General features: G+C 38.2%; 1 protein-coding gene across 1 annotated transcript in view; it reads right to left on the minus strand.

The window, feature by feature from the left end:
- HCN1 (hyperpolarization activated cyclic nucleotide gated potassium channel 1) overlaps window positions 1,056-13,570 on the minus strand; it is a 441,433-nt gene continuing 428,918 nt past the window's right edge. Inside the window, exons 7-8 of the mRNA NM_021072.4 lie at window positions 13,197-13,361; window positions 1,056-8,918 (exon numbers count right to left, since the gene is read on the minus strand). Coding sequence (NP_066550.2) covers window positions 8,029-8,918; window positions 13,197-13,361 — 1,055 coding nt within the window. The 3' untranslated portion in view covers window positions 1,056-8,028. The remainder of the gene's footprint in view (window positions 8,919-13,196; window positions 13,362-13,570) is intronic.

Here is a 13,570-nt window from a genome sequence, read left to right on the forward strand (position 1 = left end):
ATGGTTTAGGAGGAATGTCAATGGGTGGAAGCCTGCTTCTTCAGTGAAGTTGGAATTGCATGCACAGACCCTTCCACTGGGAAGGTGTGAGAGGTCTGTCCCACCTAAGTTATGGCCCAGATAGCCTGGGGTGACTTAGAAAATTCTGCTCATTGCTCTTAGAATGTTTAATGGGGGCCAAGAACTGGAATAAATTCTTTGTAAAATTTAGCTCATTTAATCTTCACAACCACCCTGTAAAGTAGAAACTATTCCAATCTCCATTTTCCGGTCATGAAAGCAGATGTAATATTGAGAGGTGAAGCCAGCTGGACTTCCTGGGTCGAGTGGGGACTTGGAGAACTTTTCTGTCTTACAAGAGGATTGTAAAATGCACCAATCAGCACTCTGTAGCTAGGATTGTAAAACGCACCAATCAGCGTTCTGTAGCTAAGATTGTAAAACGCACCAATCAGCATTCTGCAGCTAGCAAGAGGTTTGTAAAATGCACCAATTAGCACTCTGTAGCTAGGAATGTAAAACACACCAATCAGTGCTCTGTAGTTAGCAAGAGGATTGTAAAATGCACCAAACTGCGCTCTGTAAAATGCACCAATCAGTGCTCTGTAAAATGCACCAATCAGCAGGAGTCTAAAAGTAGCCAATCGCAGGGAGGATTGAAAAAAGGCACTCTGATAGGACAAAAATGGAACATGGGAGGGGACAAATAAGGGAATAAAAGCTGGCCACCCCCAAGCCAGCAGAGGCATCCCACTGGGGTTTGCTTCCACCTGTGGAAGCTTTGTTTTCACTCTTACTGCTCCTTACTCTTTGGGTCTGTGCCATTTTTAAGAGTTGTAACACCGCAAAGGTCCGTGGCTCCATTCTTGAAGTCAGTGAGACCATGAACCCACTGGAAGGAACCAACTCCGGACACAATATGACTATATAATTCTACCATGGGTAGAATAAGCAAGTAGAGCAAGACATAAGCAGTAGAGCCAGTTTTTGTAGTCAGGCTTTCTAAACACTGCAGGTGTATAGATATAGCTGATGAAGAGAAGCTCTTTGCAAAATATTGACCACATTCATTTATTTTTATAATGTCAATGTATTATTGATAGCATTAAAAATGTTACAGAAGGCAATGGACACATTGTACTGATGTGATATTAAGAAACATTGCTAGCTATGGCACCAAAATTTATGTGACATAAGGAAATTATAATACCTAACACATATTAGTTTTCTCTTCCCTGGTTCTAACTAGCAAGTGCCAGGAGGCAGGCTGGGTTAGACAGCGTGACCAAGAGTAAACTTTGGATGGTCCAGGATAAAATTATAACATAGGTGGTTTGTCGTTGCTTGTGTTTATTTAATGTTCTCTCGCTTTCCTTGTCTAGCCAAGATCCCATGCTATGTTGACTTGTCATCTCCAGAAATGTCTTCACACTTGGAAGTTCCCTTAAAAAGCCCTTAAAATTTACCTCCTCTAGGACTTACTAGTTCCAATTTTTTCAATATTAATACACATATGAATCATCTGGGGATCTTGCCCAAAAGCGGACTTCTGTAGGTACAGGGTAAGGCCAAGGACTCTGCACTTCTTGTAATTATACTTCTGGGTGATACTGACGCTGCAGTTCCATGCACCACACTTTCCACAGTGAGGCACGCAAGAACATTTAGAACTGCACATTTTAAACAGAATTGTAATATGTTAGGTTGGTAATAGATGTTAGAAGAGTTAGGCAAACAAGATTTAATTTTGAATGCTTGGAAACTAAGACCTTGAACAAATATGAGAAAGAAATGAGAATACATTTGGAAAACTCTTTTTGAATCTTTCAAATTTCTTTGGGTTATGTTCTTTCTTCCTTCAAAAGTAAATCTTTCCTTTCTCAGGAGTTTTCCTCACAAATTTAACAGGAAATAAAAACCTTTCAAGAAAGTCTCTTTGCCTCTACACATCTGAATATTCTCTGTAGAAAACGATGCAACCTGTTTTTTTGCAAAATTCCGTTATTTAAAAAAAAAAGTCTGAATAACTCTACGTTACCTGAATTCAATTATATAATCTATTGGAAACATAAAGTGGTCCTCTTTTGAAGAATTATTATATTTACTAATTTATTCAGATTTCTTCAATTGAATGAATCAATAGTATTCTCTGCTCATATGGTATTACTGAAACAACTACATAGAAAAAAATAGCAGGGCCGGGTGCGGTGGCTCAGGCCTGTAATCCTAGCACTTCTGGAGGGTGAGGCGGGCGGATCACTTGAGGTTAGGGGTTCGAGACCGGCCTGGCCAACATGGTAAAACCCTGTCTCTACTAAAAATTACAAAAATTTAGCTAGCCATGGTGGCGGGCACCTGTAATCCCAGCTACTCTGGAGGCTGATGCAGGAGAATTGCTTAAACCTGGGAGGCTGATGTTGCAGTGGGCCAAGATCCTGCCATTGCACTCCCACCTGGGTGACAGAGCCAGACTCCATCTTAAAAAAAAAAAAAAAAAAAGATGTTTCCCTTTGGGAGTAAATGGCCATTGATGTTACATTAGAAATATAATAGCTCCAAAGAATGTTCACCTTTGCCACTCTTTGGAGCGTGTGTGATATCTCCAATAGAAATTAAAGAACTGGCTTCACTTTTTTGTTTGTTTGGGTTTTTCTTGAGAAAGGGTTTTGCTCTGTCCCCCAAGCTGGAGTGCAGTGGAACGAACAGGGCTCACTGCAGCCTTGACCTCCTAAGTTCAAGCGATCCTCCTGCCTTAACTTTCTGAGTAACTAGGACTACAGGAATACACCACCTATAGTCGGGTTTTCTAAACACTGCAGGTATGTAAGTATATACTGGTCAATTAAAAAAATTTTTTTTCCTTGTAGAGACCAGGTCTTGACATGCTGCCCTGGTTGGTCTCCAATTCCTGGCCTCAAGCATTCCTCCCACTTTGGCCTCCCAAAGTGCTAGGATTACAGGCATGAGCCACCACGCCTGGCCTGAGAACTTGCTTTATTTTAGCCAAAATTATTTTATCACTTCTTTCCCTTCTCACAGGTTCTAGCTCTTATCTTCTTGTACCCCTTCCCTGCCGCAATATATTATCTTACGCAAAGCAAGTAAACTTTCAGTTTCCTATTCCCATTACTCTATTTAGCAAACCTAGGACCTTCCTTAGGACCCAGCATCCTCACAAGGCAGGGTGGGGTTGTAAATAGCCCCCAGTTTTTGCTGTGTCATAAATTATTTTATTCCTTGTTACATTAGCAAAACAGACATTTCAATGTGAATCCTCCCCGTTGATAAGCTTAAATTAAGAATATAAAGTACAACACTGTAAAACCTTTGCCCTGATGTTAAAAGCCTTTCAGAAGGTTTTTGAAATCCCTATTTCCCACTTGATCTGGGTTCCTCTTCACCCTGTGAGACACTCCAGCTGCATTGAACTGCCAGTGTTCCCAATCAGCTGTGCTCTGTTAAACATCCACATTTTAGAAAAGCATGCTTAATTTTTCACTAAATGATAATTATTTCCCCAGCATTTAATGTATTACTCATTCTCTCCACATCAAGGACCTTGTAAACAAATTCAGAGCATTATCTGTAGGTTCTTTTAAGATCATCTTTAAATAATTTTCAAGGTGGGATGCGGGGAGTGTCAGCAAGGCTTCTCTCATTAAAAAACCTTAAAATCTCCATTTGTCCCTGTCAAAGCCTGAATTGGAAGCAGGGTCAGCATTAGGGTGAGACAAGAGATGCAGGGTTGTGCAAGTGCAGGGTTGTTAAAAAGGAAAAAAATTGAAATTGCTTAAGAAAGTCATTGCTTTTGAGGGGTAATAGCAGGTGTACTTCCCTAAGTACAATAGCAAATCTTTCAAAGAAAATTTCTATCCTATTTTTCCTTGAAAATAACCATATTGAATACAGTTATAGAACTGTATTTTATTTATTTGTATGTGCTACAATTTGGTGCATGCAGCAACCACAGTTCCTTAAATTTTTGGCCATTGTTTTCAGGACTCAAAATAGCTCAGCATTCCATTCTATAAGGCCCATGTTTCTTTCCCATGGTACAGTATGAGTACTTTTTAAAGTAGGTGAACATAAAATAAAAGTTTGCTAGTTGTAGTGCATATGAACAAAATAACCACATGGGTTTTATGGCACATGTTCTAAAAAGATAAAGATATAATGGAGAGATATCTCATTCAAACAGGTTAACATTATAAACAGTGCAAGTGAGGGCCATAGAAGCAAAGTAACATAGTAAAATTAACAAATATAAAAACCTAAGCTGAAAGAGGAGGTATGGAGATTTTTTAAATAGTCCTGAAAGATAATAGAGATTGCTCATAATTTGAAGTAGACATAATTCAGGATTTGAAATAAATCATCTAAAATTTTAAACATGTCATATTGTTTAAATCATTCTCTGTCCTATAGGAATGACGGTAATAACTTGACTATGTACTTTGTAGTGTCCTGAAAATAGTATGCTCAGTTAAGTTTATAAATTGCAAAATAACCATCTCTTTAAAGTGGAACAGCATTCATCAGGGAATTGTTCACTTATGAAGAGGTCATCCAGACCTGGAGACAAGCTACTTTTTTGGTGAATAGAATATATTGCCATTGCTACTATTTATCCTCCTTGTTTTCAGGAATGCTTCACTACTTATTCTCATTATGATAAACTCTATCTCAGGCTTTTAGGTATCATTTAAAACCCACTTGTGTGGGGAGGTTCTATCACTCTCCAAATAACTTTGCAGGGCCCAAGGCTATAAATATGAATATATTTATACAAACCTATTTTGTTATAATAGGGCCTTGGGCCTACTATACAAACCTATTTTGTTTAAGGCTATAAATATGAATGTATTTATATAAACCTGTTTTGTTATAATAGAGCCCAAGGCCCTATTATAACAAAATAGGTATGTTATAAAACTATTATAACAAAATAGGTATGTCATAGAACTATTATAACAAAATAGGTTTGTATAAATATATTACAGGACAATTATTTACCATTATTACAGGAAAATTATTTCTCATCTGTATATCCAATAATTACACAAAATGGTTGTGTTTTGAAGTTGGAGAACAACCACATTCTAAAAAGGCACAGAGCAAAAAAGAAAATAAGCTCATATTTTACTATACGAAAAAGGTAAACAAAGAAGTGGTTGAAAAATCCATGTTCTATTTAAAGTCCTCTCATTCCAGAATTATAGAATATAATTGATTTTATGTGATTATCAAGTATAAGCTCTTGGAAATTTTATGATGTAAAAATAGAGGCAAAGCTGTACTCATTAATAAAATAAAACATTTGATTAGCATATATTGATAAAATAAAATATTCATGATTGTAGTTTATTTTTTGTTGAATTTATTAATAATCTTTATATATATTTATATATGTATGGCTTTGAGCAAAGACAAAAGAAATACTCTAACTCATCCCTGATCATACAGTTGTTGTAAGAATCAGCTATTCTATTATCTTTCCAGCAGCAGAAAGACCAATGAATAATACATTTCTTTCTGTACAGATTAAAACTCCATACATACGGGCTTCACTATGTACAGAGAAAAGAGGTCACTTTTCAACTAGCAATGGACCTTTATATTACAGGAATGTGAGTCATTTTTTTTTCTTAATCTAAGTATATATACATTCATACATATATGTATATAATTTACCCTGTACCTTTTTATTAGTTTAATATATAAACCTTAGTTTTTTTGTCCATTCTATTACAAAGTGAATAAAAATTGTATGGTTGCACTGAAAGACCATGCATTTCAATTTTGCTTATGTTTCCCAATAGTGCTCAAAATAAAAAACCAAAAATTTATATATATAAAAATATTTCACTACCAAATCCATTAATCCTATCAAATGTAAACCTTTAATAATTTAAAGGACCAATACGTAATCTTAATAAATTGAAGTTAATTCTCATATTTTAATAAAATAAAGGAGTTTTGTACTGATATGTAAATGGTCTTGCAGCTTTCCCATAGGTTCTAGGTAGACTGAACAATCCCTTTCTTACAACAGTATTCCTGACATGCCATCATATGTCACCAGCATATTGATGATTACATTACATCGACTAGCAGTTAATTACTTCCACACCAGTTGGGATTTGTTTGAAATTAAACATAACAACTCATTTTGGTATTATAGGTATTATATCCACAAAAGGCATAACAGGCAGCAAGGATCCACTTTAGAGTTTCTGCTTTTGTTTTTGTTTTCTGTCCTCAAGTCTATCTGCAGGCCCTGTCCCACATAATGTGTGATCTCTGTATGTTCTTAAATGTATTGCCAGTGCCAGAGATACTGAAGACCTCCACTTTAAGTCATGCTCTTAACTTGGGTTATTTACCGCAGCCAGTTGTTAGGAATCTTTCAATTGTGTTCCAGTCATACTCCACATGTGTGGGATGCATTAGGCACAAATGATTACTAAGGGAGTTCTTTGAGAAGAAGCAGGTGCTCACAGATCATGTAAAGAGTTAAGAAAACAGACAGACAATGCTCATAGACGTTCAACTTTACCCCTGCTTTCTGTCACCATGTCTGTACTATTTTCAACACATTAAAAATGACAAACCTCCTATCTAAGGGCTACGTTAGTCACCACATGCCTTAAAGTTTACTAACCATTTAGTTACAATATACATAGAGCAAAATGTGTGTTCCCAAACAGACGTGATGCTGTATTGAATTTATTTCTTTAAATTAATACCATAGTAAATTACCAGCTACAGTGAAGACACAGACAACACTTAACTCCAAATCAAGCTGTGGTTTACAAATAATTATTTAAATAATAATAGCAATAATATTAAATAAAAGTGAAAACCTCACTTCTAGACTTAAGTCAGAGATCCAAGTCAGCCTTATAGGAATTATAAGATAGGCAATTAATGAATTGTTATGCTTTTCTAGAAACGAGAAATACTGTAAGCCTTTCTCTACAATGACTGATTTGAACCTATTTTTTTTTCCCCAGAAGCATGCAGGGACTATTTTCAGATGCTTGATTATGGCAAGAAGAAAGAAAAGTAACGATTTTTGGTGTAATACAAGCAATTTGTAGATTCGAGCATACAATTTTGCATAAAACATTGCAGGTTAAAATAATATTGTAGGTTTCAAGCCATTGCATTACAATTGAATAATTCTCACAATCAGGTTTTGTAAAATTTAAAACTCTAAGTTTTGAAGTGAAGCAATAAAACTAAATTCTTAAACAATGACTTTTACCTTCATACAACACAGAATAGCTATTTTTATTTGGGTTGAAAAAGTTATTTACAACTAACATTGATCGAGTCTTGGTAAAAGTCCGATAACACATGAAGACAAATATTAATTTTCCCTCAGCTTTCTGAAAGATCAATGAACATGTTTGAGGTTAGTGATATTCTTAACAAACAGTGGCAATGCTAGTCTCCTACGGTGGCCAAGCAAGTAGTGCATTCTTTAACCTAATTTGAAATTGAAAGCACCGAAATACAATTTAGATCTATAAAATGGGATTTGTTATTTAATTCTCCACCATTAATGATTAACAATTTAGATGCAGAGACACAGCTAATGAAAGAAAGTTTTGATTGGTGCTATTTACTAGTTCATTTGAGTTGCCTTTTTAAAATCAGTTTTGTTTCCATTGAATCCAAGAACTCTTCATAAAATAGAGAAATATACATATCAAAGGACTTAAGTAAAAGTAGGTTAGAAATAAATAATCTTACAACGACATTTTAAATCCTTTAATGATTTAAAGAAAGGAAGACATATAACACTGAATGCTAAACAGGTCTTTTGACCCTCTCTTGGGAATTTAGATATATATTTTATAGTATATGTATATATATTTTTACATTTCACGTGTAGGCCACAGCTGTCTAAAATATCTCTTCATAGTAGGCTAGAGGGATCTATCAGGAGATAGAATAAAATAAGATCTGAGTATAGTCTCAGTTTATGAGAGTATTTCTTTCTGCTTTGACAATCAGCAGGGATCATAAATTTGAAGCAAATCGTGGCTTTTCTGCGTCTGGGTCTGTGTTTAAGACTGAGGAAGATTCTCTTGGAAGAGCAGCTGCTGGTGGAGGGGGTGCTGGAGGGACTCCTCGGTTCGGGGGGATGGCTCCCGACGACATCTGTCGGAAGAGGGTGACGCGCTGCGGGACAGTGCTCCTGCCCCCTGCCTGAAGGCCCGTTCCGGGGACCGCCGTCACGGGTTGAGGGATGGAGGCCAGGGACTCGCCCACAGTGGGATGAGGTCTGGAAATCAGAGTGGACACCTCATGGGGCAGCGAGGGCTGCGAGGCGGAGAGTGGCCTGACTTCCCGGGTCAGGTTGGTGTTGTGAAGCGCCTGCGTGCTCTTGTGCACTTCATTTTTCGGCGTGGAGCTGCCAGGTGTCTGTGGCTGCGGGGACGGCTGCTGTGGCTGAGTCTGCGGCGGCTGGGACTGCTGTACCTGCTGCTGCGGCTGCTGTTGCATGAGTGACAGCTGGGAGGCGGTGGGGGAGGCATAGTGGAAAGTTCGAGCGGCCAGAGGGCTCTGTACAGGAGGGCTGCAGACCGCGGTGGTGTAGGAGCAGGGTGACAGGATGGCTGATGGCTGGGGGGTCTGTGTGCTGGGACTGGGGGAGTGCAGGTTGCTGTGAGACAGGCTGGTCGCTGTGTACACCGGTGGAGATTGTGTCCTCATGCGGGAGGTCGGGGTCGTAGTAGACGATGTGGAATTCAGGGTTGTCATTTGAGGATAATTGATGGGAGCGATTGCCTGCACCATCTCCCTGTCATGTTTCACAATCTGCTTGAGGATTTCGTTCTCCTGATTGTTGAAAACACCAGTGTTCAGATCCTTCTGGAACTTTTGCAGAAGAATTGAATTTTTCTTTCCTGTCAGCAAAAGAAAGATAGGCACTTAGAAAGCCTACCAATGACTGATGACAACGCCAAGTGAGAGTGGCTCCTGCAAACAGAAGTATAGCTGTGCTTCACAGGAGAGGCTTAAAAAGCCAGTCACTCACCTTTACACACCAAATACCAATGTGGCTCCTACCTTTCACACTTCCTGTATTTCTCTGGGAACTCTTACCTTCTACTCAAGTTGAACGGCCTGTAATATGGCAAAGAGCCACTTTACAGAAGAAATGGAGATATTTAACATGAGGGCCACCTTGAAGAATGGGGGAAGAAAGGGCTTTTGGAATAGGATGGGCTTGGAATCAACATTTGATTTTAAAGTTACTTTTTCAAGAAAGGACCATGGAGACATAAGCGAGAACATTTGAACACGTACTATGTGATAAGCACTCTACAAAAGACCTTAGGTAGATGATTTTATGTAACCCGCGACCCTGTCAGATAGGTGTGTTCATAATCTCATTTTACCTGAAAGGAGATCAGGACATGAGAAGACTAAGAACAGTGCCCAGGAAAACAAAAAAAAAACATGGTTGGCAGGTAACAGGGCTGAGAAAGACCATATACACAAAAAAGTGATTGCACATCCTTGCTATGGAAAATGAACCAACTGCCCCTGTCTCATCTGTGTGCTTGCTAGAAACTCAGCCTCCTGGGCCTGACCCCACTTGCTGAATCAGATGTTGCATTTTACTAAGATCCCCAGGTGATTCCCAAATGCAAATCTGAGGAGGACTGTATCAGGTTTTGCTTTTGACCCAGTGTCTTACACCAGTCATTCTCAGTCCTAGTTGGATATTTTTCTTATCTCTGGAGCTTTAAAAAATACTAACATCCACTTGTTCCCTACCAATTAAATCTAAATAATCATACATGGGCTCTGAATTTCAGTAGTTTAAAAGCAAATTTCCCCAGGAAATTCTTTTTTTAAAATTTATTATTTATTTATTTTATTTTATTTATTTATTTTTTTGAGACGGAGTCTCGCTCTGATGCCCAGGCTGGAGTTGCAGTGGCACCATCCCAGCTCACTGCAAGCTCTGCCTCCCGGGTTCATGCCATTCTCCTGCCTTAGCCTCCTGAGTAGCTGGGACTACAGGTGCCCGCCACCGTGCCCGGTTAATTTTTTGTATTTTTAGTAGAGATGGGGTTTCACCATGTTAGCCAGGATGGTCTCCATCTCATGACCTTGTGATCCACCCGCCTCGGCCTCCCAAAGTGCTGGGATTACAGGCGTGAGCCACCACGCCCAGCTTCCCCAGGGAATTCTTAAATGCAGCCAAGACTGAGACTGACTTTATGATCTTTCCTCTTCTGAATGGTTGTTGTGAGGACCAAGGGCATAGTGCATTGCAGGCTCTCAGCTCCCTCTAAGACCTCAATAAATTTTACCTTTTCCTGCCATCATCTTCTGAGTGGTTTGCAATACAGCTTTTCCTGCCATCATCTTCTGAGTGGTTTGCAATACTAGACAGTCTCTGGCATAATAATTATTAGAATGAATAGTGGATTGGTGAAAGAAGGGGAAAGTAGTGACTTTTCTATGGCATCATTGATACACTAATCTCCAAGTGAATATGGTAACTGAAAAGTGAATCAATTTGCGATATTGCTAAATAAACTAACACATTAAAGGTAACAAAATATATTTTTGAAGATAAATATGTATTGTAATTTCATTGACTGCTAGGAATGCAATCATTTTAAATGACTGCCAAAATAGTTACCTCTCCCTACTTACAGACTGTCCTAATTTCCCAAAGAACAAAAACTCCTACATTAGTAATAAATATAAATGCTTATTTAGCATATTTGCTTAACTAACTGCAGCATACATCTATATGCAATGGCCACAAAACCGAGAAGCATAATGTTTCTTTCTGATTATGTGAACAGTCAAAATATCTTAATCTAAGTATCTTTAACCTTGGGAAAAATAATGTAACTTTTAATACACTCTTACTATGTTATAAAGATCAAAAATTCAATTGCTTAGTGCCTATTAGAAATTGCATTGCCTGTATTGATTACGAACCATTTCATGTAAATATTGTTATAAAAATTAACTGCAGGCTGGGCGCGGTGGCTCATGCCTGTAATTCCAGCACTGTGGGAGGCTGAGATGGGTGGATCATGAGGTTAGGAGGTCAAGACCGTCCTGGCCAACATGGTGAAACCCCGTCTCTACTAAAAATACAAAATATTAGCAGGGCGTGGCAGTGCACACCTGCAGTCCCAGCTACTCAGGAGGCTGAGGCAGGAGAATTGCTTGAACCTGGGAGGCGGAGGCTGCAGTGAGCCGAGATCACACCACTGCACTCCAGCCTGGGCAACAGAGCAAGATTCTGTCTTAAAAAAAAAAAAAAATTAACTGCAATAAGTTAGATGAAAGTGAAGCTGTATCAGATTAACAGAAATTATCTAGTGAAATATCCTGATTTTAATGTTTTCTCTAAGGATGTCTAGCTGGTTTAGGAAGAAACTCATTGCTTAGAAATTAGTCTCTGTCTCTAACATAAACACTCACACACTACAAAGAGGGAAGTTATTTTCCAATTAAGTAAGGATGCCTTCAGGAGTGCCTACTTCTTTTGTGGGTATTGTCTCCCTGAATGAGTAGGTCTTGTTAAATCTCTAAGATTTCAATATGAATTTCTAATACGTTTGTTATATCTAATGATGATGTCCAAATACTGCCTTTACTTCTAATCTATTTTCAGATCTCTATGCAGTCTGCTGTCCTACTAATATAGAGAGAAAGGAAGATGTGAATGTGAAGTGCAGAAAAAAAGCCAACATAACAATTTATCAATCTGAAGTCCTTACCTTTAATAAGAATGAAGCAGTTGAGGTACCTCCTTGTTTATCACAAGTGATCCCAGCCCCATCTTTTTTGAGTTCATTTATTCCTTCCTCCCTTCCTACCTCTCTTCAACAAATATTCATTGTATACTAGGTACTGTGAATGTAATGGTGAATTAAACATGAGCTCTACATTGACAAATTTAGCATCTCTAGAGCCAGTAATAAAAGCAGTGCTGTGATGGGGGAGCTTCAGAGGCTATAGGAGAATGCATCCAAGGAACTGGGCTTAGTAGGGAGTGGGAGGTCAGAGAAGGTTTCTAGAGGGAGGTGATATCTAAACAGAGAGAGGAAGGTTGAGCAGAGTCGAGCTGACCAAAAAAAAGTAGAGAAGGGGAGGGTGGCAAAGAGGGTTTAGGTGTGGAAAATGAATGCATACTACCTTACAACATAATGTTCCAGGATATCTAGGAATGTTAACAGCAAGCCAATCCAAGCTAACTTTACTATGGCAATTATGCAAATCTTCAAACTAGCATAACTAATAAGGCCTAATGGTTGTATATATATATTTTTTTATTTGGTAGCAGAAAAGACTTTAAAATATGTTGATGTTTGCGAGGTAAAGCATCTATGTAGGGCATTACTATCAAGGCTTTTTTTTTCTGCTTGAGTCTATATTACAAACATTTTATTATGTCTCTGCTGAGATTAATTTAAATGTGCAAATTTTCAATTCCTAATATAAAGATAAAATGTAAAGTTGATCCAAAAATACAAAAAAAGTGATAAAACTTAGTTTGTAATATAGACTCATATATCATATTTTTAGTTCTATTTCAATGCTATCTAGAATTTTTATCATTGCTTTTTACCTGAAGATTCAAATTGTTTTGGCATCAGTCGGGAAATCAGTTTGTTTAGCTAGCAAAAATAGACATTAATAAATAAACCCAGAATACTTAGAAGAGATAGATAGGGACCCAGATCTCTCAAGAAATACGGCTACAGCTAATTGCTATTTCTACACAAATTAACAAGCAAGCTATAAACTGGCATGTGGGATTTTTTTTTTTTTTTTTTCTCTGAGACAAGGTTTCACTCTCTCTCCCAGACGGGAGTGCAGTGGTACCATCTTGGTTCAGGGCAACCTCCACCTCCCAGGCTCAAGAGATTCTCCTGCCTCAGCCTTCTGAGTGGCTGGGATTACAGGTGCACGCCACCACACCCGGCTAATTTTTGTATTTTTAGTAGAGACAGGGTTTCACCATGTTGGCCAGGCTGGTCTCGAACTCCTGACCTCAAATGATCCACCTGCCTTGGCCTCCCAAAGTGATGGGATTACAGGCATGAGTCACCACTCCCCACTGCATTTGGGACTTATAATTGCAAACCTGTATTATGCCAGGAGATTAAATTTTATATAAAGAAGGTAGAAAACTAGAGTACCTATTCGATCTAGTCGGTCAATGGCAACTGTCTCAAAGGCTCTCCTCATCATTGGATATTCCTCCAGGACCTCGTTGAAATTGTCCACGGAAAGTGAGTAAAGACGACAATATGTATCAGCTCGAACACTGGCAGTACGACGTCCTTTGGTCAGCAGGCAAATCTCTATAAAAACAAACAACAAAGAAGAATGACTTGTTTGATCATTTTCTTTTAAAAGCCATTAAGGCTTCCCACAACTTAAAACAAGTCTCATGGTGTGAAAAAACAATTATTAGCAGCATTTTCTATTATATCAGCAAATTCCTTCTGACAAAAATATCCGACTGCCAATACTCAATCTTAAAATAATGTTTTTTTGTTTTGTTTTGTTT

The sequence above is a fragment of the Homo sapiens genome, chromosome 5, assembly GCF_000001405.40.
Source record: "Homo sapiens chromosome 5, GRCh38.p14 Primary Assembly".
NCBI classification, from domain to species: domain Eukaryota; kingdom Metazoa; phylum Chordata; class Mammalia; order Primates; family Hominidae; genus Homo; species Homo sapiens.